This window comes from Homo sapiens, chromosome 1 (genome assembly GCF_000001405.40).
Source record: "Homo sapiens chromosome 1, GRCh38.p14 Primary Assembly".
NCBI classification, from domain to species: domain Eukaryota; kingdom Metazoa; phylum Chordata; class Mammalia; order Primates; family Hominidae; genus Homo; species Homo sapiens.
In genome coordinates, this window is record NC_000001.11 from 166,929,377 (window position 1) to 166,952,061 (window position 22,685).

Sequence of the window (22,685 nt, forward strand, 5' to 3'; positions counted from 1 at the left end):
TTTATTATGGCCCTTAATATATTCTAGTTTGTTTCAAGTTATCTGTATAAATGTCTAATCTTCTCAAAGATTCTTGAAGGAAAAGAATCCTTATGGTTCTGGATCTCCATGTGCCTAAAACCATGCTTTACACATAGTGGGGAACTTAAAAAATGTTCGTTGCATTGCTGTCAGCCTGGGAATTGGGGCAGGGTTAATGGTTTCTTTGAGAAGTGCATTTTCAGTAGAGTTTTCCCCTCTAGACTGCAAACTTCCTGAGAGCAAGGACTAGGTTCGCTTCTGTATCCCCAGCACCTAGCATAGAGCCTGGCACATTGTAGACATTTGAAATATGTGTGTTTGTAATGAATGAAGGAATGAGTGAATGAATGAGGAGAAACTGGGAATAGAAACCATATTATAAGAGACTACAACATATAGCAGATGAGGCCATATGGGCGGTTTATTGGAGAATTTTGATCAGGAAGGGAAAGGCTTGGATCGTAGAAAAGTCTGGGTATCATGATTATTATTATTATTAATTTTTTTAAGGAAAACTAGCATGTCTGTATGCATTATGAAAAGGGCCTACCCTACCTGGAGCTGTGGTTTTATCTAGGTGTTCTAATTTCTGAAGCACTGTTATGGTAAACATTCAGTGATACTGCACTAGAGGTCATGGGGGAGGGGGCCCATAAAGTTGTTGCTATATGGAACAATGTACCAGCTGTGCCCTGGCAGACAGACATGGTCGGTGAGAGATGGCTGCCACCCTGAGAAGCAGCTGGAGGATCCTCAGTTAATTGCCACTTGGACTAGAGCATAGTTTTCTATGTCATTATAACAAATTACACTCCTCATTATGATACAGATTTGATTGTGTATGCATAGGTTATCATGTCCCTGAAAAGTTACAGTAACCATTTATAGCCTCAAATGAAGATGATAGTTTTGCCTTCAGTGCTGGCATTATAAAGAGACTCCACTGTACCAGATACTTTCAGCCTTGACTTCTTAGTCACAGCAGCCCATGACTTCAGAAATCTAAATTCCTCTAATTTGTCAAAAAAGACAGAGGCAAAGTATTGATCTTTTGACTTTAGGAGTATCATCCATTTGGTTTCAGTAGCTAAAAACCTGGGCAATTCTCCTTCTAAAAGCTATTGGACTTTTTAAAAATGATAAGCTACAAGTTCAAATATACTAAACTATTCTCTGATCCTGGTAGAATCTGGCTCTATGTCACATACATTCTGAGGAGCATATGAAACACCAGAAAACCTTTCCTGGTCCCTCCTCTCCAAGGATGAGATTTTCCTTTCTGAGCTGGCATTATGGATCAATCTTATACTGCCTTGTATTACTTACTCATTTTATTTCCACTTACAAGCCCCAGCAACCACCTGGTAGACTGTACATTCCTTGACGGCAGGTAAAATTTGTTAGCGTTCATTAAATTTTTCTTGATTTGACAGCAAATAGCATGGTGTCAGATTGATTTTTATCTGTAATTTGTCTGAAGATCACAGAACTCTCTGGGACGTATGGTGATGTTTTAATAAGAAATGTCCTAGACTATTGGCCAAAGTTCAGCATATTTGGAAAATGACCTTTTTCCCCAGTGATGTTTCAGTTTAAGATTGATGGATGATTTATCTGTTTTCAAGTTCAGTCTGGCCCAAGTCATTTGGCTGCTGTGGCTCTTCATACTTCACCTCCTCTAATTTATTAGCCTTGCCAACTTCAATTTTTGGAGAGGGGATATTGGGATATTCACTTTGATGCCAAACTATAATTTTAAAAATTCTTATTGTTAAAGGATTTTTGCTGATACTTTTGACCCAATTAAGGTTTAGGTAGTTTTCAGCTAATTTCCTCATTACAGCCAAAATCCAACTTGTAAAACTTGCAAAAGAAGTCTCCGAGGCAGATACTCATGGATATAGCCTTGTTCTTCCTGTCCTATCTTAATAAGCTAAGTAAAGCTGTTTATGGATGATGGAACAGCTGCCAGATTCCACCCCCAAGGTGACAGCAGCTCAGCTGTGGGAGAAGTGATTCTTAAAATTTGCATATTCTCTGTATACATACAGTAGGCATATATATAGATACACATCCTTATTAATTTTGAAAATGACATTTCAAAACCCTACTTGCCTACTCAATTCTTTTGCATGAAGAATGGGTGGAGGACAGGTAGATGTGGAAACAAAATGGATTAGAGCAAAGCAGAGTAGATGTGGAAGGACCAGGTGGGAGATGATTGTGTTAAGCAAGGTGGGAGGTAATGGCAGCAAGGACTAGGACAGTTTCAGTAGAGATGGAGAAAAGGAAACCAACTCAAGGTTATTTTGAGTTACAATCTAAAGGACTTGGTGACCAATTGGATGAGGGAAGTGGGGGAGAAGGAAGGGATAAGGATGAAGTCTCTGCTTCTGGTTTGGGCTAAAAGGTGGACAACAATGCCATCCACTGAGATAAGATATGTAGAAGCTGGTTCGAAGTGAAGAAGCAGCAGATTAATTCAATTTCCTAGGGGCTGAGGTTGAAATGCCTGCAAAACACCCAGGTGGAGATGTCCAGAAGACAGTTGGATATACGGTATTGAGGAGCAAAAGAGAGGCTGGAGATAATGATCAGAAGTCATCAGCATATAGATGATGATTGAAGCCACAGGAGTGAATAAGGTTTCCCAGGGAGAGGACCTCAAACAAAACAGGAACATCTGGAGGATGTACAGTGGAAGAACACCCAGCATACACAGAGATAGGTAAGAAAAATTACAAAGTACAGTGCTGAGAAAGGCAAAGAAAGATGAGCGCCTCAGAGTGGCAAATGCTTTTGAGAAGTCAAAGGAGGTAATGATTGAAAAGGATCCATTAAATTTAGCAATCAGACAATCTTAGCAAGAGCTGGTTTCTGGAATGGTGAAAGCAATAGCAAGATGGAAGGGAGCTGGGGAGTTGGTGAGAGCAGAGGGAAAGGAAACATTTAATATTCAAAACTCTTTCAAGGAGTTTGGCTGTGAAGAAGAGTAAAGGGACAGGAAAGCAACATCTGAGGACCACAGGATTTTTGTGAATTGTTGTATTTTAATGGGAGAGACTTTAGCATATTTTGAATGCTGACAGGAAGGAGTCACTAAAGATGAAAAGAATGGAGATGTGAGGTGGGAACAGGGCGGAGTGTGGGTGTTCAACACAGAGAGAGCCTTGACAAAGCTTAAAGGGATGGATCCAGAGCAGCACAGGAGCAGGCAGTCTTCCTGCATGGTAACAAGGTCTCAAGTAGCTGCCTTGAAGAATGGGAGAAGGAACTAGAGTGCCTCTTACCTCTTCCATTCAGGAACCAACTGGCTATACTATACATAGTTCATCAAAGATGCCCTTTTCAACCACACATTGTTCAAAAGACTATTGTGTACAAATGTAATCTGAAAAATTACTGTTGTGAAATAATTACCCTAAAATTGAAGTAGTATATAAATATAAAATAGGCTAAATTGACATTTTTGTAAATTAACATTTCTTAACATTTTTAATGTTCTTTAAAGAATAATCTACATGGAACACTGGCATAAGCCACCTTTGCTAAAGGAGGACTAGCCAAACACTATCACTAACACTCCCCATGGGACCATGAGTACAGAAGCATGCCTGGTGAGGATCATGAAGAAGTCTGTCCTGGCTCCACCAGCCAGACCATGACAGCATGGGCCAGACTAGCTGCGGTGACACTGATTGCCACCCTTCCTCTTTTTCCTTGCTAACAGAACCGTGATTTTGTTCACTTCCAAAGTAAATAGTTGTTTAGGCCTAAGAGGTGCATCTTGAGTAGTTCAAGCCAATTTTGTTTATGAATGGGCAAGAGCCCAATTCTTGCTGATAAAACTAAAAGGGAAAGTCTGCTGGAAAAGTTTTTCTCACTCTTGAGAAAAGTGATACAAGGAAGAGAATACCACTTTCAATCTCTGAATTTGCTTAATTACCTGGAACTATGCAGTCATCAAGAGATCATGAGGTAAGCCAGCTGAGGAGGACAGAGGATGTGCTCAGGATAACAGAAGAAAAGACAGAGGAACTAGGTCCTTCAGGGCTGCCACCTGAACTGTTCTATTAACCAACCCTGGAACTACCTTACCTTGACATTTCTATTTTAATGCCACTTCTAGTTACAATTGGTTAGTATGGCAGAATGAGACCAAAATGGTTGAACTGCAACAAAGAGAAACTGGAAAAAGACAGAAAATGACAGAGAGTAAGTATTTGCTATTCTATGAATAAGAACAGTTTTATTAGATAATCCATTAAAAAATAAGGGGGAAAGGATTCTGGTGGGAAGAAAGATTAGAAAAAAGACAAAGAGTATGAGATAAGTTCCACTAATGTCTCTTTTGCCCACTTCATCTTTCATGGAAATGGACTACATCGTCTTTATTTCTCTAATTATCTGTGTGTCACTGATCATTAACTTTTACTTCTCAGTCTGTGACTCATTCTGTATCAGATGTCAGAATTCTACTAATAGCTCCTGGGAGAGAAAAATACAAATCCTAATTACTCACTGAGGATAGCCACTCATTCTACAATCAGGCACTGGCAGCTCATTAGGTGGGCTAGATACCCTTCCCCACTTCACAATGGAGGCAGTCAAGATACCTCCAGGGAAGAAATGTCTGTTTTACCAACTCCAGCGGCTCATCTACATCTAGGGATTTAAAAATCACCTTCTAAATCTATAGCACATACAATCCTAAGCTTCACTGCCCTGTAATCCTGTTCAAATGCCTCAAGAAGAGCTATATTTTAATGCCCCTCCACCTCTCCACCCTACCCTGCCCCTCCACCTATACCTCCTACCTACCCCTGCCTATAACCACAAATTAATAGTGCCTCAAATGGGGCTAACCTTCAGCTAAATCAGCTCTCCTTACCACTTATTTCAATTCTGTCTTATGATCTATGATCTAGACAACTTGGGGTCATCCTGAAGCCTCCTTTTCCTTCATTCCGCAATATCTCATTATTTCTTTCACAGTGTCTCTCAGCTTTACCCACACATTTCACTCCCATTGTCTCCATCATAATCTAGATGCTCACATATCTCAACCACTTCAACCACACCTTAGCTCATGGTCTCTGGCTCTACTGTCTCCCACTTGCCACTCCCTTTGTCATGGTGCCACCTCTGCCCTCAGGAGCCTGCCCACAGTGGCTCTCACACCAAGCCCCAGATCTTCTGGAGGGGTTTCAAGGCCCTCCCCAGTCTGGCTCCGTCGTATCCTTCTACCTTCTTCCAGTCAATCTGACAAATTGGACACTGTCACATACTCACACTGTGTTCTCCCAGCTCTGGGATTTCATCACGCTGACCTTCCCACTTGGGGTGCTCAGCATCCCCTGAATGTGCTTTCCTAAATCCTATTCATTCCTCTAGGCTCAGCTCAAATTTCACCTCCTCCCTGAAGATTTTGTGACCAGTCCAGTTCTTTCTTCTTTGAACTGATTGTCTTTAGCATACTCTTTAGCATCTGATTATCCTAATAAAGGTCCGTTCTCTCCCTGACCAGGCCATGCTGCTTGTCAGAGAAACCATGTCCTACACTTCTTGCAGGCCCTCACAGTAGTAGTGGACTCCTGTAGGTAGGGATGAAACAACTATTTGCTAACTGAATAATCAACATTCAAGGGATATCTTGTCTCTTTTCTTACAGTTCTAGTAATTGAGGAGTCTAGGGAGGAGGCAGGGGTCAGCAATGTCCTGCAGCCTTTGGAAAGCATGAATGTACCCTAAAAGATATCTGACATAGCTGGAAGGATCCCATTTCTGGAACAGAGAAAACTATTTTCCAAAGACACATCACTGAACTGACTGTTCTTAACAACAAGGAACCACTGTGGGGGCCCGAGACAAGCATGGGCAGGGCAGTCTGGAACTACATTTACCACTGTGGCTTCCTCCAGTGGAGTCACTTGGTGCCAAGGGAGGTGGATGCGGCTTGTCCATCAGCATGCCAGATGAGGGGGCTCCTCCCAAAGGGACAGAGGGGATGGAGTAAGGGCCGGGGACACCGGAGACAGAGGGAGGGTACCCGGCCTTTGCTGCTTTCCCTGCTTCATACACTGTGGAGGGAGATCAAGAGCAAGAGAGATTACGTCGTCCCACCCTCCACAACCCTCACACCAAAAATCCCTGAGGATGCACTTCAGGGAGCTCCTGGATGTGTGTATGTGCATGTGTGAGCGTTTGTTCTTCTAAAACTGAACTGATTCATCAGAATCACTCTCCCCCACTCCCTCGGACTCTCCAGCTCCACCAAACGGCAACGACAAAAGGAATTACAATGTTTAGTACCTGGCAACTAAATAATTAAGTGGTTCTGGGAGCTGTCACAGCAGCATCCCCAGTGACAGCAGCAGCCCACTCTTACCCACACTGTCTGGAGGCTGCCTCGGCCCCTCTGGAGGCAGCCTAGCACAGGGACTGCCCAGGGCTGCTTCAAGGAGGATCCTGAACCTTCTCTTGAGAAGGAAAGCAAGTAATGGGCTTGCACATGGTCCTTGCTCTGTGATTTCAAAAGCAGAGCAAATAACCTGAGTCTTCCTAGAAACTGCTTTATTCCTGAAGACACTAAAGATAACTGGTGTGCCTCTCTCTTTCAAGATGTGTTTGGTTTATGGGAGGGGTACCAAACTTAATGTCTATATGGGCTTGGCCAGTAAGGTAAAAATTGTGAATCCTCAAATAAGAACTAGGCCCTATTGTGGCCCATGTCATCATGGGAGTAAATAAAACAAATCTGTGGCTGGGTGGGTGCCCAAAGGCCACAGTTTGCACACTCTTCTCATATAAAAAGGAACTTCTCTGCATGGGAAGGGAACGACCAGAGAAGGTTTCCTCTAGTTTGAATGCCCCAGGGAGAGGGAACAGTCTTACACCACAACCTCACCACGCCAAACCTGCCCTTCCATTTTATCAATAGTGTCCATGAGAATTCCAAATGCATGGAGTGATAGATATGGATAAGAAGTGTGGAGAGGTGTATGTAGGTGAAAAGGCAAATGAGAATGGTCATCCCTGAGGCCAGGGGCACCCAGCGGAGAAGAGTCTGGAATGACCAATCTTGGGGGTGGCAGGACAGGAGGTGGAGGAGGAACCCAGCGCACACAGCTGTCAGGTAGAGAGGTAGACATTTCTCTCGATCGCTCTGTCTCCCCAGCGGTCACTGTACTCACAGGCTTGAGGGCAGCAGCAGGAATCTGGGCAGCATGGGCAGCGGACATAGCAGCAGCAGCTGTGAGGGCAGCACTGGCACCAGCAGATCCCCACCAGGACGAAGAAGAGGAAGACGCCCAGGAGCACCAGGCCAACAAACACCCACTCTGGAAGGATGCACAAAGAAATCCACACTCGAGGCAGCCCACCTCCAGGGCAGGGTGCACTTTGATTGGCATCTCCCGGTGAAAGGGGGAGAGGAGGAGGGACCTAGGGAAGAAAGCTTCTCTTAACAGGAGACAGAGCCCCAACACTCAAGAGGAACTCTGAGAGTCAGGAGTGCAGACCCTCAGTCCCGGGGAATGGAGAAGAGGGAAGAAGGTTATCTATGTTACATTGGGTACATGTAATAATCGGCACAAAACAATGTGGGGATTTCAGAGTCCTATACTGGGGAAAGGATTTACACTATTGACTGTAGCATCAGAATAAGGATGGGACCAGAGCTGAAAGAATCCTGGCTGGGGGGAAGGAGAACCTTGTCTGCTGGGCTACGAAGTGGTGGGTTCTGTGAATACTTATTTTTATTTTTGTCAAGTTAATCCTCTCTATAAAAGTCTAAGTCCTGAGGAAACAGTCTCTATGTCTAGGGGTCTAGATGTAGTTTATAGTTAGGTGGTTCCAGGCCCCTTTTGTAATGTATTCACCTGCTTTCCCTGCTGACTGTCCCTAGAACAGCTTTCCTGTACTCAGCACCAGTTCTGAGATCCAAACTCTTTGCTTATACCAGGACAACAATCCATGGCTAGAGAAAACTAGAGACGTGGTCTCCATAGAGAAGACACTGTCCCCGTGAACAGAGAATGAGTTTGGTTTGATCACACTCAAGCTGCCCATGCTAGGCAGCCAACATAGCCAAGGGCTCAAGTGGCTCTGAGCTTGGATAAATGGCAAGGCTGACATGTATATCTGGGTATGTTTGTTAACTCCGCCTCTTTCACAGCTCTGCCAGAAGCTGAATGTGAATTCCATTTCATTTGCCCATCCAAAAGATTAAGAGAAAGGAAACAAATTGCGAGTGGCTTAGATAAAAATTACTGTGGCCCTCAGGTGACTTGTCTCAGCATCATACTTTAGAGACTTGGCTACAGGACCCAACTTCCCCTGGAGGCCTGGACAGACTGGGGAGAGCCATGCTTTCCTTTAAAAGCCAAAAAGACTAAAGCAATTCATTTTGGTTAAAAGCCATCTATCCCAAATCCCTTTACAATGAACCTCAAGCACACATTGTTTTTCTTAGATTTTGATTATCAAATATTCCTTCAATTAAATGGACATTCCTGGGAGCTTGAGAATATGATATTTTTATTAAATAATGGGTTGTATAATAATGGTTAACAAAATGACTTTGTTTAGATCATAATTTCCTCAGAGAGGAAACAAACAACATGTTTCCTGAATGTCCCTCCTCACTAATCTTTCTGAAATACATTCAAATTAAACAGGTCAACATCTCTTCAGTGAGGGAATGGGAAGGCCTTGTGCCTGGCTGGAGTGGCCTAGAGAGCATTCATGCCGAGGACAATCGATAGCAGAAGGCTTTGGCCTAAGCCTTAGTAACAACACAATAATGCAACATAGCCTGAGATAGATAGGAGCTCTTAGGTTTAGATGAGCTGTATGAAGTGGTGGCTACAACTTGGGTCAAGCATTCAAGGATAAGACTGGAAAGTTATATGTGAGAAACAAAAGAATATTATCTGTGAAAGGATTCTTGGAATCAAAGGGAGGGAAATTTAGCCATATGGGGCCAGATATGAAAAACACAGTAACTCTTTCTTGAGACTGGGACATGTAACATCTAGTTTCAAGCACTGCAATGTAACATTGTTTTTGTGATGAACAAATGCTTACAAATTGAGGGAATTCTGGATAAGGGGATTACAAAGAGGCATACATTTGTGTCCTTGGGAGCAACATCAGTAAAAAGAATGTCTGTGTTTGGGTTGGCCACCTAATGGAAAGGGACTAGAATTCATAGACGAATAATTAGTGAAGCTCAATGGTAAAGAATCTGGATGTTTTTAAAAATTTGGATTAAGCTAAAAACCAATACCCAGGGATATTTTATATCTCTGTTGCTATTAGGCAGCTCTTAAAACTTTGGCAGAAACCCTCCAAGACAAGACTAAATCATCCCTTTTCCTACTGTTTGAGTTTAGATATGTTCTTCCCCACAGTTCATTCTTGCTTCTCTCTGTGCCTCCCTCAACTGCAGACCATAAAGCTGTACCAAACTGATGTTGGCTTGTCTAGGTTGGTGGATTCAACTGAAGGTACATAAAAAGACAGAGATGTATGTTCGTCCCAGATGTCCTTCACATATGGTCCGTGGACCCATAGGGATTCGAAGGGACTAATAAGTCCCTGAAATTGTGTACAAAGTAATGTAGGTCTGCAAATTTGTATTTTTCAAGGGAGGAGGGGTACATAGCTTTCCTAAGGTTTGAAAAAAAAGTTTGATGATGTTATAAAAGGCAATTCAGAGTAACATGGTTGTACAATAATGAATCAGTAAACATATAACTTAGGAAATAAGGAAGGCAGATAAATACTGATTCTATTAAAAATACTTTTAGGTATATGGGTACAGCTGAAATACTGAAATGGGCATGGAGATTGCCAAAGAGCCTGCATGCCTGACACTGAAGGACTGGGTTGCCATCTCAGCCTATTTTTAATTATCATTATTCTTTTAAGGCCTAGTAACAGAAGGAATGCAATTTAAAAGCCCTTCCAATGGGTTTAGTTAATCCTGGAAAAGATCAGAGACATATAGACAAATGTGGCAATAAAGTAAAGAAGCAATTAGCGACTAATGCAGAAGCAAGACAGATGGAATAACAGCAAATCAAGCAAATAAAGAGTTAAATGACCGAATACCTGGCATAATCTCCACAGCAAAACTGGGCAAGAGATCAGCAAGCAGCCCTGTCCTGCCTAGAAGAAGTGGAAGGAAAAGAAGAAGGAAAGTGGTTATTCCAAGGGAAAACATAGCCTAAAGCCTGGCTCCAGTTGGTACCATCCACACGTGCGGCCATTAGTGCATGCTCTTTGTGATATGAGAAGCACATCACCAAAGCTAGGCTGAGACAAGAGAATGACTTTCCCTGTCAATCTTTGGCAGCCATCTAAGTGAACTCTGCACCTAAACTAAGCGGAAGCAGAAACAGAACTTTCTCTCCAACTATTTATAGGAGGAGGAAATCTCTGCTTGAGCAGACTGACATACACTATCTCCATTCATTTATACATCCGTCTCCATACACTTCATTGGAAAGTCAAGCCCGTCTGTATCCAAATGTTCAATCTACATTTTCATACATCCATACACAGTCCTATGTCCATATAAAAACAAAAGTACATATTTGGTTTTAACTCAGAATTATCTCACTACATGATTCTATTTGTGGCCTAAAGATATTTCAATGATTAAAATTTTCAAAGGCAAGGGAAAGATAAAACTAGATCAGTTACACATTCCTCTACACTCCTTCTGGCTTCTGAAATACACTGTACATATGTAGATGGTATGGCTTTTCCATATGGCACCCACAGCTGGCATTATATGGACCCAAGTGCCTTCTGCGTAATATGGCAAAGAAACTTAAAAGCTGGATTCAGAACAGGTGCCCCTCAAGGACTCTGGGAAGCAAAGAGCTGTGCAGGAAACAAGAGGCTGGAAGACATAAGGGAGCAGATTAGTCCGTTTTAAAACTAGCCTGATTTACAGAAAGACATGATGAATGCTTTCATCATGTTCTCATATCAAGGTGAAGTCCTGTTATGAACTTCTGCCCCTGACATTATATCTCTAAACTAGTAGTACCATAAACAACTAGCAAATTTCCCTCCTTTCAGACTTGTGATGGTGGTAAAAAGTCACTGTAGCACCTAAACACGCAACTAAATTCTACTTCATTTAGGTACCTGACATATACCTCTAGAACAGCACCAGCCAACAGAAATATAATGCAAGCAATGTGGATAATTTTAGCTTTTCCAGGAAGTACAATAAAAAGTAAAAAGAAACAAAGGAAATTAATGTGATACTATTTTTAGCTTATGTGACTATCACTAAAATATTGTCATTTCAAGGACTTAGTAGACACATGTTGCTATTGGACAGCACAGCTCTGGTGATCTGTTTCATCCATATAGATATGGCTCATTTAGAAAACAATTCCTTCATGTTAAAGTTTGTTGAGGTGCATTAGAGAAAAGTTTACTCATGTGTGTGGTTCATATTTTAAATCTAAGGTCATGGTTGGTCACTTGTCCCTTCCTCTATCAAGTCACCCACAGAAAAGAAGCTCTGACAAAGGTCAAAGAAAAAGGGGCTCCTCCAGGACACTAGGGGAGTATGCTGGAGCTGGGGTAAGATTTAGTGAGCAGGGTAGAGGGGTCTTTGCTCACTTTTTCTTGGCTCTCCTCAACTCTACAAGGCCAGTGTGGTAGCATGTGTCCTAGTCTATGTGGGTGATGGTCCCATATTTAAAAAGCTAATGGGGACCAGAGTATATTCCAAGGTAAGGAAGTATGGGATGGGTGACTTAGGCCAACTCTGCTTTTGGCCTTGGCAAATACAGCTTCCTTCTTTCTGTCCCCCATCTCATGCAGCTGACATGGTAAGATTGCTCTGCTGCTTGCAAGGTCTCTTGGAAGGACAAGTAGGAGTCAAGTGGGACATTGGAAAAAGGTGTCTTCTCAGGCTAGTCTTTGACCTAAGCCTTCATAAAAGACTAAGAGATGCCCCTAAGGCTTACGCAGTTCCCTAGGGTAGGAAACTAGTAAATATTTGGGGCCAAAGCTTGAGAAAGTGATTAAGAGACAGCATGCATTGGTCTCCTCTGAGTGTTCTCTATAAAAATATCTCTCGGAAACTCAACGAGGTAATAATCACCTAGTCAAAGATTTGGGAATTTGGGCTCCTGGAGATTTCTTGAAGACCAGGCAATAATCAATGATCAAGAAGTCAATACATACTGTTTTTTTAGCAATCCAGTTATCAGATATGTACTTGATGGTGGATTTTTATTGTTTTTTTCAATCTGCATAATTAGCACTTGTAAATATATATCTTGGTGTATCTTGTAAAATCAGAAACTTTGCTAGTGTTTACTCTCCACTTCTCAAGATTACCAATGTTTTAAACATCTCTGGATATGCTATGATCCAAATCATTACTTAAATTCATGATAGAAATGTCACTGATGATATAAGCTACCAATTCGTGGGCTCCTATAGCAAACCGTGATAATTAATTAACTATAAAAATCCATACATTCAAGGAGGATGTGGTGCTTATACATATTATATAGAGCATGTTATATCGGAAAAAGCAGTGAACTGGGAGTCAGAATACTCAGGGCAACTTTATCATTACTTCACTTGGTGATTACTACAGGCAAATTACTTTCCCTTTCAGGGTCTCAGTTTTTTCATTAGTAAAATGAAGGGGTTGAATGGAGTAGTCTACAAACAGAAAGACCATCTATCTTGGTTTGTCTAGGACAGTTGTGGATTATGCCTATGGTCCAGGTGTAATTTTTAATAGCACCCCTTTTTACTCTCAAAGTATTCTAGTTTGGACAATTAATTATGTGGTCACTCTATATCACTTTTAGTTCCCAAATCTGATACTCAGTGATTGGAGTTAAAAACTCAAATGTCTATGGGCACCAGCAGGTAATGCAAATGAGTGCAGCTGGCCAGATATAATATAACAGGGAGTAGCTAGAGATGTCATCAGGAGGCTGCTACTAGTCACCTCTAGCCACTTGTGGCCCCATAGAAATGTGTCTTCAGGGTTTCAGATCATCCTATTTTTCAATATTTTCCAGGCCCCAGATTTTATGTGAAATAACTTGATTTTCAAATGTTGGCAACCAGTTCATTATTTTTAAAACACTGGGTGAGCCATACACAGTATGTCTGCAGGCTGCATAGAGCCCAGAAATCATGAGTTTGCAACCTCTGAAGGGTATACACACACAGATAAATTTATGGGATGGTAAAACACAAAGCTGCATTTCCCCACAGGCTGTTTAGGTTACCTTGATGGTGTTCTAACATTACTTCCACACACAGAATAACAGTAAATACAAGATCTAGTCACCTATGTTCAAATTAAAATTGGAAACAATAGTATTATGCACGAAATTGCTAGCCCTTCTTATTTCTAGGGAGCTAGAATGAGCAGCATGGAAGAACAATGAAGGAACTTGCATTTTTTTACTTTAGACTTTTTTACTTTTGTAATGGAAAAAATTAAAATAAGGAAAGGGTGTATCAGACATATGGACAGGTGATTCACAAAGCTTTTCACTCCAACAGGAAGACATACATCAAGCTTCTCATTCTCCCTGAAGCAACAGTCAATATCTGATGCTTCAGAAGGTGAAGCCTTCCCATAATGCACCTGTGTAGTGTTAGCCACAGGGTAGTGTAGGTGATATGTGCAGTAAAGTGGGTGAAATTAAATATCTTCAGAATTCAAAACATAGTAGGAGTTTTGGGAGAGCAGACAATACCAATATATCATGTCAACAGCAGAGACGGTGCAAAGCTCTATAGCTTTGGCCGGGCACGGTGGCTCACGCCTGTAATCCCAGCACTTTGGGAGGCAGAGGCGGGCGGATCATGAGTTCAGGAGATCGATACCATCCTGGCTAACACAGTGAAACCCCGTCTCTACTAAAAATACAAAAAATTAGCTGGGCGTGGTGGCGGGCGCCTGTAGTCCCAGCTACTCGGGAGGCTGAGGCAGGAGAATGGCGTAAACCCGGGAGGCGGAGCTTGCAGTGAGCCGAGATTGCACCACTGCACTCCAGCCTGGGCGACAGAGCGAGACTCCGTCTCAAAAAAAAAAAAAAAAAAAAAAAAAGGCTCTATAGCTTTTACACCATTACTTATATTTTATTGGAGCTAAAGGCATTTTAAAAAGTGGATTTATGCTGAATATTTATGCTGAATATTTCTGAAAATATTCCACTTCCAGCTTCTTCCCTAACAATTCCTAAGAAATGTTATTGCTAGTTAGAAATGCTTTATCTTTTCTTCTATCATATCCAATGAAGGCCTGATCTTACAGAGTCTAAACAATTGCAGTAAATACATTCCAGATTTCAGCAGCACTTTACCAACACTTGTGAATCGCTGTCATTCTTCCAGGATTCAGTTTAAGAGTGGCAATTACAAGTCACTTTAATGTCTGAGGAAAGGATGGAAAGCAAGCCCTGCAAATAGAAGGCCACATTTACTCTTTTCAAACCACAGCTCAAACTATCAGAGGAAAATACAGTTTTTATGTAAGCGCTCAAACAGTTTTCCCCAAATCTTGCAGAATCCATTACTTTTAAGAAATTTCCACATGAATAGACCAAACGAATCAGGCATACTAATACTTTGTACATGCACACACACAAGTGCCAGTTCCATATCATACTGTCACAAACTCTAGAGCTAAACACATTCACACGCTTCGGATTAAATGATCAGGGTAGAAATATGCATTGTGAATAAAATAACTTACCTATCTTACCTATAAAATTCCCCATTTCAGTTGTTTTCTGCCACTGCCACTTTTGAAGTTATCCTCAACTGAACTCTTTGTACACATTCCTGCAAACCAGCTCACTGTTGGAATGTCTCTCATTTATTCATTCATCATTCATTCATTCAACAAAGAAATTTATATTTAGCTAGGTGGAGACACAGGGGACAAGATGTGTTCCCTTGAGACACTTGAGAGGCTCACAGTCTAGCCCACACAGAACTCAGCTTTAGTTATGTGCTTCTGTGCCACAAGAACTATTAAATCTTCCCGCCAAATTAGTTTTCATCAGCCCTCTTTGCATTTTTGACATCAGGTTCTGCCTGGTCATGGGGCCTTTCCCTGGAGACCTAGTCCTTGCCTGGTTTCCCACTTCTACTCAGAACATTGTCTTTGCACATTTCACAACAAATTATGTCCTAGTGGCATTTCCCCAAGTTTTTTTACACCTTTTTCTTGGTAGGTTAGCCCCCTCAAAGCAAACTTGATTTACTTTCTTTGCTCAGATAAGCATTTCAGTTGCTTTGTTCAATTCCTTACCACAAAGACCACAAGACTGAGATATGTTCTGACACAGCCCTGTAAGAATGCTGCACTAAGAAGGTGCTTCCTCCTCCATGCTCCCTAGGACCACTGCACATGCCTTCACTAAAGCAGTTATCTCGTGGCTGCAATGTGCCTTTACTTTTACGAGTGCCTCCACTACCAAGATGGAAACCCCTCCAGAGCAGGGACTATGCTCTACGCTTGGCATCTCCAGAAGCCCAGCGTGAGGAGGCACCTCACCCACCCATCAGGAACTTGAAGTGTTTCCAATAGCAAATCCCCTTGTTCAATATGCAGGGTTTCTAGCTGGACTTATGATTTGCTGCGCATTATAGTGACTTTATCAACCTCAGGTGGAAGTAGGCTTTTAATGAAAATATGAAAGAACTATTCATTTATTCATGCAGCATTATTCTATATACTGCACAATGTTTAACACTTCTGAACTCAGGGAAGAATGCCAGGAGCATTCTCCAGTCATTGGAATATCCCCAAATGCCATCTTGCTATCTAAGGAGACAAAAGCACCACCCTATCCCACACCAAAAAGTTGAATAGACCAAACGAATCAGGCATACTAATACTTTGTACATGCACACACACAAGTGCCAGTTTCATATCATACTGTCACAAACTCTAGAGCTAAACACATTCACACGCTTTGGATTAAATGATCAGGGTAGAAATATGCATTGTGAATAAAATAACTTACCTATCTTACCTATAAAATTCCCCATTTCAGTTGTTTTCTGCCACTGCCACTTTTGAAGTTATCCTAGGGTATTTTTGAGGAAGTCATTACAGAGATAAAATAACACATAAAACTTTCAGCCAAAAAGACTGTTTTGGTCTCTACTCTTAAAACTTAAATCCAAGCTCTAATCATTTCCAAGCCTTCAAAGTTACAATGGAAGGTAAAGAAGTTCAGGATTTAGGACAAACCTGTTTTCAGAACCTGCTTACTCAATCACTTGATAACACATTGTTTAATGCATTGGAACTTAGGAAAAGGAAGTATAACATTTCCTTTATCTTTATGACACCACTGCTGACAGCAGAGTTACCTCCATTTCTTTAAACTTATTAAGTTGGAGTCCTTCTAGGGTTTGCCAACACACTATACAGATGAACTTTCTGTTTAGGACAGTGAGGAATGCCTTTCTTCCCCAGCTCCGTGTGGTTCCCCTCTTCTCCCTTATGTTTAATGCACATCTCAGCTTCATCCCACTTTCAAGCTTTCCTCAGATGCCCTAGATCCATTTTCAGGGATGTACTGTATCCACCCCCTGTTCTGTCATCTCCTAACCCTCCAAAATGTTTCACTCCTATGTCTTTGAGGAGAACAGATGCCTTTCTCTGGCCCTTTTAAATGTAAAGATGTTTCTATGGCTATGCTTTTAAGTGTTAAGTTGTTTCTATGGCTATTTGGAATCCCAAATAGATTGGAAATTTCCCAAGGGCACACACATCCCAGTTTTTATTCTATATTCCCATGGTAACCATGCATTTAATAAATATAGTTTATGACTATCACAAATGTGGATATAGCCCCCTTTTCTTTTATATATATTTATAAACTATGTTCTTAAGCATTTCATATGTTTACTTTTTCTTTCTGTGTCCTTTACATTTTAGTTCACTTTAAATTATAGTCTTAAAGGAGAATAATTCTGAAACCGAATTCTATCCATAAAATAACTAGTATTGGACCATCTACAATTAACTGTTAATAAATGCTTTGAGGTTGGTTTTTTGTTTTTTGTTTTTGTTTTTGGCAGTAGTTATAAGCTTGGCCTAAGGAGCTGACTTCTATTCCCACAGAATCCTAGAATCAGATTTTATAACTAGAAAGGATCTTAGAGGTCATCTAGTCCATATTCTACCCTATGTTTCAGGGATCTGAGGCTCTGAGAGGTTAAGAATCTTACCCCAAGTCACACAATTCACTAATGATCAAGCCAAGAATACAACCAGGTGTACTCACCCCAATTCCAGTTTTTTTCCCAATATCTCACCACCCCAAAACTTTGCTTATCTTTCATCTAGAAATGTGCACCAACTGCCTTCTAGTCTCCTAATATTTGTAGTGAATGACCCTGAAATGTGTTCATGTTTTTGGCACTACTGCTCTACTTATGTAATTAAAATACAATTTTTGGATGTAGGAAATGTTGGAGATAACTGAAATTTTCAGCACCTTTTAAAGTTGCAACCGGAAAAAATGATCACTGAATACATCATAACACAGTATGGGCTAATTGAAAGGCATTCACCATGCTGCTACAAACTAATAAACAACAAAAATGATTGCAAAGTAATCTGACTTCACAAAGTGCTATAGTGATTCAACCTCCACCCCCAGAGAGCGAATAAATACAAAATATTATTAGAAATATAACATGGTCGACTTGGCCTGAGGTGAAATGCAGAAGACTGCTAGATTGACTTTAAAATGCCGTGGAGGAGCGTGGGATGTCATGGAACGGGGAAAGTGAGTTTCTTGGAGCCCAGTGTGGTGTCTTGAAGTCACTGTGCTCCATCCATCAGACTGCCACAGATACAAAGATAGCAAGAATGGCCACTTTCTTTAACCAAAAAAGGCCCTGGCGGTCTCAGGCAGACACAGAGGGGCACACACTTGGTAGGTCTCAAACTGTCAGAGTTCCTGCCCTTTCCTCCGTGGCCAGCCCCCTTAGTGTGAAGGGGTTGGCATGGGGCCTTTCCCAGACCCTCTCATGGGAAGCCAATTCAGCAAAGTCGGAGGCACAGCCCCCGTGTGAACGCAAGCCTGCACGCCTGAATAGCGGCAGCTGGCTTTGGAGAAAAATGGGACAACTGTCTCCTGCCCGGCTTTCAAGAGCTGCCATTCTTTCTTTCCAGGGGCTGAGCCAATTTCTCGGTGCCACCCACTCTCGCGCCTGCCCCCAGCCCCCGTTTCCTCCCCCGCTCGGGCCGGCGCGGGTCCACCCGACTACAATGCAGCGCGCGGCTGACCCAGCTGCTCCGGCTCCTGCCCGGGGTAACCACGGTAACCGCGGGCCGCCAGGAATGCGCGCTAATTGAAGGCCGAGTTTCCTCCCACAGTGATGAGCAACAAGTGAAGCAAAAATAGTGAGGCGGAATAAAGGCTGCGAGGAGGGGGCGGCGGGCGCGACCGGGGTGGCTGGGGGCTTAGGGAAGGGGAAATAGCGCCTGCAAGACCGCATTTGTTCTCTTAACACAGGGCAGTGAACGGCCGCGAACGACGTCATTTATGGTTCAAAAATCTTAGGGCAATTTTTTCAGAAAACAACTATTACGTCAAACCCCCACCTCTTTGCTGGGCCCCTCTGCTCGATTCAGGTACCTAGATGAATGGAGATGTACGTGCACATACATAGGTCCCCAGGAACGAAATGCCAGATAGCAGCAGGGTTCAGCAGGTGGAGGTGAGCCGACACTAATTTCCCCCCCAACCCTCTGGATCTTCTGTTCTCTTCAATCTATGGGAGACCCTTCAAGGTGGTCAGCAGCTAAAGATGGGTGACCATCATACCAGTTGGCCTAGACAGTTCCGGTTTATGCCTGTTGTCTTGCCAGAAATTATTAAAAGTCCCCCCTTTTCACTCTCAAGAGTATCCTAGTTTGGATGATAAGTTGTAAAGTCACCCTATCTAAAGTCTTCCCAAGCTCACCCAGATCCTAATCCAAGTCCAGTGTTCTTCAGATCCCTCCAGACTTCATCAAATGGCCTGGCCTGTGTGACCTAATCCTTGTATTTAGGTTAGGCAGTAAACACCCTGCAATTAACTAAGGGTCATCCACTGAGAAATGGGGGCTTCCAACAGCAACCAAAAGATAGCATGCTGGGACAGAATGCTTTCAAACCCACTAGCAGGAAGATTTCCACTGGGCTGATTAGGGTCACCACTGGCAAAATACAGTACAGATGTCATTGAGAAAATGTGAATCTATTAGCAATAGGATTGCCAATTCACAGATGGCCATTAAAGCCTCTGCCCGTGGAATGGGCTAAAGGAAAATCAGCTCTTTAGCAGGAGTCTCCAAATGTAGAATTCCCTAAAGAGGGTTCCCTCAGATTAGAGATGAAACGCTGGCGATGTGGTGTGGGGAGTGGTAAGGGGTGGGAGAAGGAAGCTAACATTTACTAAGTTCTTTGTGCATTTAATCTTCACAATAGGTCTTCCGTGTAAATTTTATTACCCCTCCCCATTTATTCAGCTAAGGAAACCCATGCTCATAGACGTTGACTTGTCCAAGTTCATATTGCTGCACTGAGTCCAGGGCTGTCTGACCCTGAAGCCTCTGCTGTTCACAGTGGACTTTATCCAATATCCAGAGAGACCTTTGGTCAAGATCAGTTTCACAGCCTCAGCACTATTTCTATCTGGAGCCAGATAATTCCTTTGGGGAATGGGAGAGCTGCCTTGCATATTGTAGAATGCTTAGCAGCCTCCCTAGTCTCTACCCACTAGATGCCACAGCATCCCACAAGTTGTGACAACCAAAAACTATCTCCAAACATTGCCAAATATCTCCTGGAAAGGCAACAATTGCCCCTTCTTGAGAATCAATGGCCTACATATTTAATATCCAAATACAGCTTTAATATCTTCTTGTATTGTTCTCTAACTGCTTCAGAAATATATCTTTTATCTTCACCAAAAGACAGTAATTTTTATAGAGACAAGACACTGTCATTTCTTTATTTTGTATCCTCACTGTGCTAGGGATATAATATGCAAAAAATAATCATTTTTTAAAATCATAATTTAAATACAAATCATACTTGAAGCAAAACTGACTCCACTCCATGGTGCCTATCAAAGAGCAAGGTTGAGATTATGGAGTAGAAAGGTCTGAAGGCCAAAGGAAGCTTCTTGCAAAGAATGAAAGGCATGATCCCACATCTTTGAAGGAACCACAAGCCCTACTCCACTCTTCATTCAGTAGAATGAATGTTATTGGCAGTCATTAACCAGAATCAGATTCTAGCTGACACTTGGCTAACTTTTCTGGCTCTTCCCTCTCCTCCATCCCTTCAATGCATTTTTTTTCTGGTTCTTTTTAAAAACAAGACCAGCAGAGGCATCTAGGTAAGCTCAGGGCAGAGCAGGCCAAAGCTAGGAGAGAGTGCTGGGAGAAAAGGCAGTGGGGCTGAGGCCTGAAAAGCCACTCCTCATTTGTTTTCTGTCTCTCATGGAAAACTATGGAGTTATTTCAGCTGTTCTGGAAACCTGAAGGCACAGGTGTCTGCTGATGATAGAAAGGATGATTCTGCTTTCTTTGGGGAATCAACTCTACTGACGCATAATCTGAAGCATATCTGATGCATAATTGAGTTTACAAATGAAAATGTAGGTACAGCTCAAGTCAAAAGATGTTCCAAAGAAGTAGCCTCCAAATTTATGGCGAAAGTGTGGCTCTGTAATTAATTCCTTTTCTCCCTTCTGCCAGGAGTAAACTTTTTCTTCCTTCTCCCTCATTCTTTTTCCCTCTTCCTCTGTTTGTAAATCTTAGAAAGAAACAGCAGCAGCCACTCTCAGAGATCAAAGTTTTAGCAGGCAACAAAGACCTCCAAGGAGGCTGTTGCCATGGGAACTCTGGGAGCTGAGGCCCTTTTAATCGTCAAATCTCCTTGGTTAGCGGCACCAGGCTGGGGCTGGCAAAGAGAAGGAGAAGGAGAGAGGGGAAACATTGGCAACAAGTAGCCTTTCTGAAGAGACTGAACTAAAGTCACAGGGGTAGGGGGTGGACAGGATTCAAACTGAGGCAGCAGTAACACAGGGGTAGGTGTGGGGGCATTTCTGCATAGCCTTAAGACACATGCTCCCATTAAACATCCCTAAAGTCAATCGCAAATTCTGAGACGTCCCCTCCCAAGAATTCACTGATTTTATACTATATGGCTTTTTAATACTAGTGGATGGAGAAGTTTATTTTAAAGCAGAATAACAATTTCAGGCACAGTATTGTGAATAATTTGATCTAAAATACACACACACACACACACACACACACACACACGCCTACCCATTCCTTTACCACTTATCTATGTAATATAACTGTACTTCTGGTTAAATCACAGGAGGAGATAGAAGAAAAAAATAGGAGCGTGACAGGAAAACAAAGGCAATTCTGTGGGCTTACATTCATGGGGAAGAATCAATCCCAAATGAGCGCCTTACTCACAAGGACCTGCTGGGAGCATACCTATTTCTGGCCTCCTGGATTAGCATTGCATTTGGACCATAAAGAAGCACAAATGGATGAATTCCCCAAAATGTTCATGTTTGTTATTTGCCTGCCTGACATTGTTTTCTTCATTTGGAAACAAATTGCCAGAGTTTCCTTTAGGAAGTTACTCTTTTTCACTTTTCCCTTCAGTTCATAGGTTCAGTTGGGGTTGGGTGGTATACTACAGTCCTCTCACACACAGGCCACCCCCAACAACAGGACTTTTACTGAAACTATGGGGAAAGAGGCACTTTATCCTCTTGAGATGGAAGGTGCTAAAGACTATGGAAGGGTGGATCTGCTGGGGGCCATCATCTCTGCCCCATGCAGAGAGATCCTGCCTGGAAATGATGCTAACACAGAGAGTGCAGAGCCAGGAGATGGAGATGAGGAGACAGAGATTCTTTAACACATAATCTGAAAACCAGGACTTAGCCATGCTTGAAGCTAGGAATACCCCCGGATTTATCTGTTACGTAAATCAAATTATCTGTTACCAGAGTTCCCCTAAGCCAGTTTGAGCCTCTATCCCTTACAATAAAAGAGTTCTGAAAAATACAGCAGTTACCTTTGGATAGTGAGATCTTTAGGAGATACTTTCTTTTGTACTTTTCTGTTTTGTTTGAAATTTTTACAATAAGCATGTATCTTTTTTTCTAAAACAGAAACAATATTAAAATGACACAAAACAGCAGTATTTGAGGTATCACCCTCAACAGGGAATTAATTCTGCCATCTATGGATCTTTTAAATAAAGCCAGAATCATAGAAAGTATTCCAAAAAACCATCTTGTTTATCGTAATATCCCCGACAAGAGAACCTGTTCCATATTAAAAGTTCATCAGAGGAGTTTCTTATAATTTCCCTCAACCATCCATAGTTTCCAAAAATTGTTATTTACCATTAGGAATGTCTTCCTTAGGATGAATCTAAACACCCCTTCCCTCATATCCTCTTATTCTATTCTTGGCCCATAGGCAGGGGTGTTCATCCAGTCACATTTCCTCCCAGGCCTTTTTCCCCTTTTTCTAATTAAAGGCCTTTAAAAAATAAGCTACCACATAGGACATCAGAAAGAAGGGGTCAAGCCCT

The 22,685-nt window shown here is 42.0% G+C and overlaps 1 protein-coding gene and 1 long non-coding RNA gene across 18 annotated transcripts in view, besides 2 other annotated features; one reads left to right on the plus strand and one right to left on the minus strand.

Moving 5' to 3' along the window:
* Positions 1–22,685, minus strand: part of ILDR2 (immunoglobulin like domain containing receptor 2) — a 79,845-nt gene that overhangs the window by 33,681 nt on the left and 23,479 nt on the right. For 7 of the 15 annotated variants that reach the window (NR_199383.1, NM_199351.3, NM_001438642.1 and 4 more), the window contains exons 4-6: positions 10,138–10,194; positions 7,215–7,361; positions 5,925–6,101 (exon numbers count right to left, since the gene is read on the minus strand). The exons of 2 other annotated variants lie outside the window; for them this stretch is intronic. Coding sequence is in view for 11 of the 13 variants with exons in the window: in NM_199351.3 (NP_955383.1) it covers positions 5,925–6,101; positions 7,215–7,361; positions 10,138–10,194 (381 nt within the window). In the remaining 2 variants the exon portion in view is untranslated. The remainder of the gene's footprint in view (positions 1–5,924; positions 6,102–7,214; positions 7,362–10,137; positions 10,195–22,685) is intronic. 6 more of the 15 variants (NR_199384.1, NM_001410891.1, XM_017001254.2 and 3 more) reach the window with 3 other exon arrangements.
* Positions 1–22,685, plus strand: part of LOC124904449 (uncharacterized) — a 45,878-nt gene that overhangs the window by 2,206 nt on the left and 20,987 nt on the right. The window contains exons 2-3 of one of the 3 annotated variants that reach the window (XR_007066713.1): positions 2,516–2,749; positions 4,151–4,236. The exons of 1 other annotated variant lie outside the window; for it this stretch is intronic. This is a non-coding gene — a long non-coding RNA (uncharacterized LOC124904449). Of the gene's footprint in view, positions 1–2,515; positions 2,750–4,150; positions 4,237–18,378; positions 18,467–18,578; positions 18,784–22,685 lie in introns of those variants that run through there. One more of the 3 variants, XR_007066715.1, reaches the window with a different exon arrangement.
* Positions 18,269–18,318: a silencer, noted in NCBI's record as "silent region_1515". NCBI's record gives its function as "represses an Ori minimal core promoter by ATAC-STARR-seq in GM12878 lymphoblastoid cells {active_cell/tissue: GM12878}" and the evidence as "EXISTENCE:reporter gene assay evidence [ECO:0000049][PMID:35858748]".
* Positions 20,816–21,110: a silencer, noted in NCBI's record as "tiled region #1052; HepG2 Repressive non-DNase unmatched - State 24:Quies". NCBI's record gives its function as "represses a minimal TATA promoter and a strong SV40 promoter by Sharpr-MPRA in HepG2 cells {active_cell/tissue: HepG2}" and the evidence as "EXISTENCE:reporter gene assay evidence [ECO:0000049][PMID:27701403]".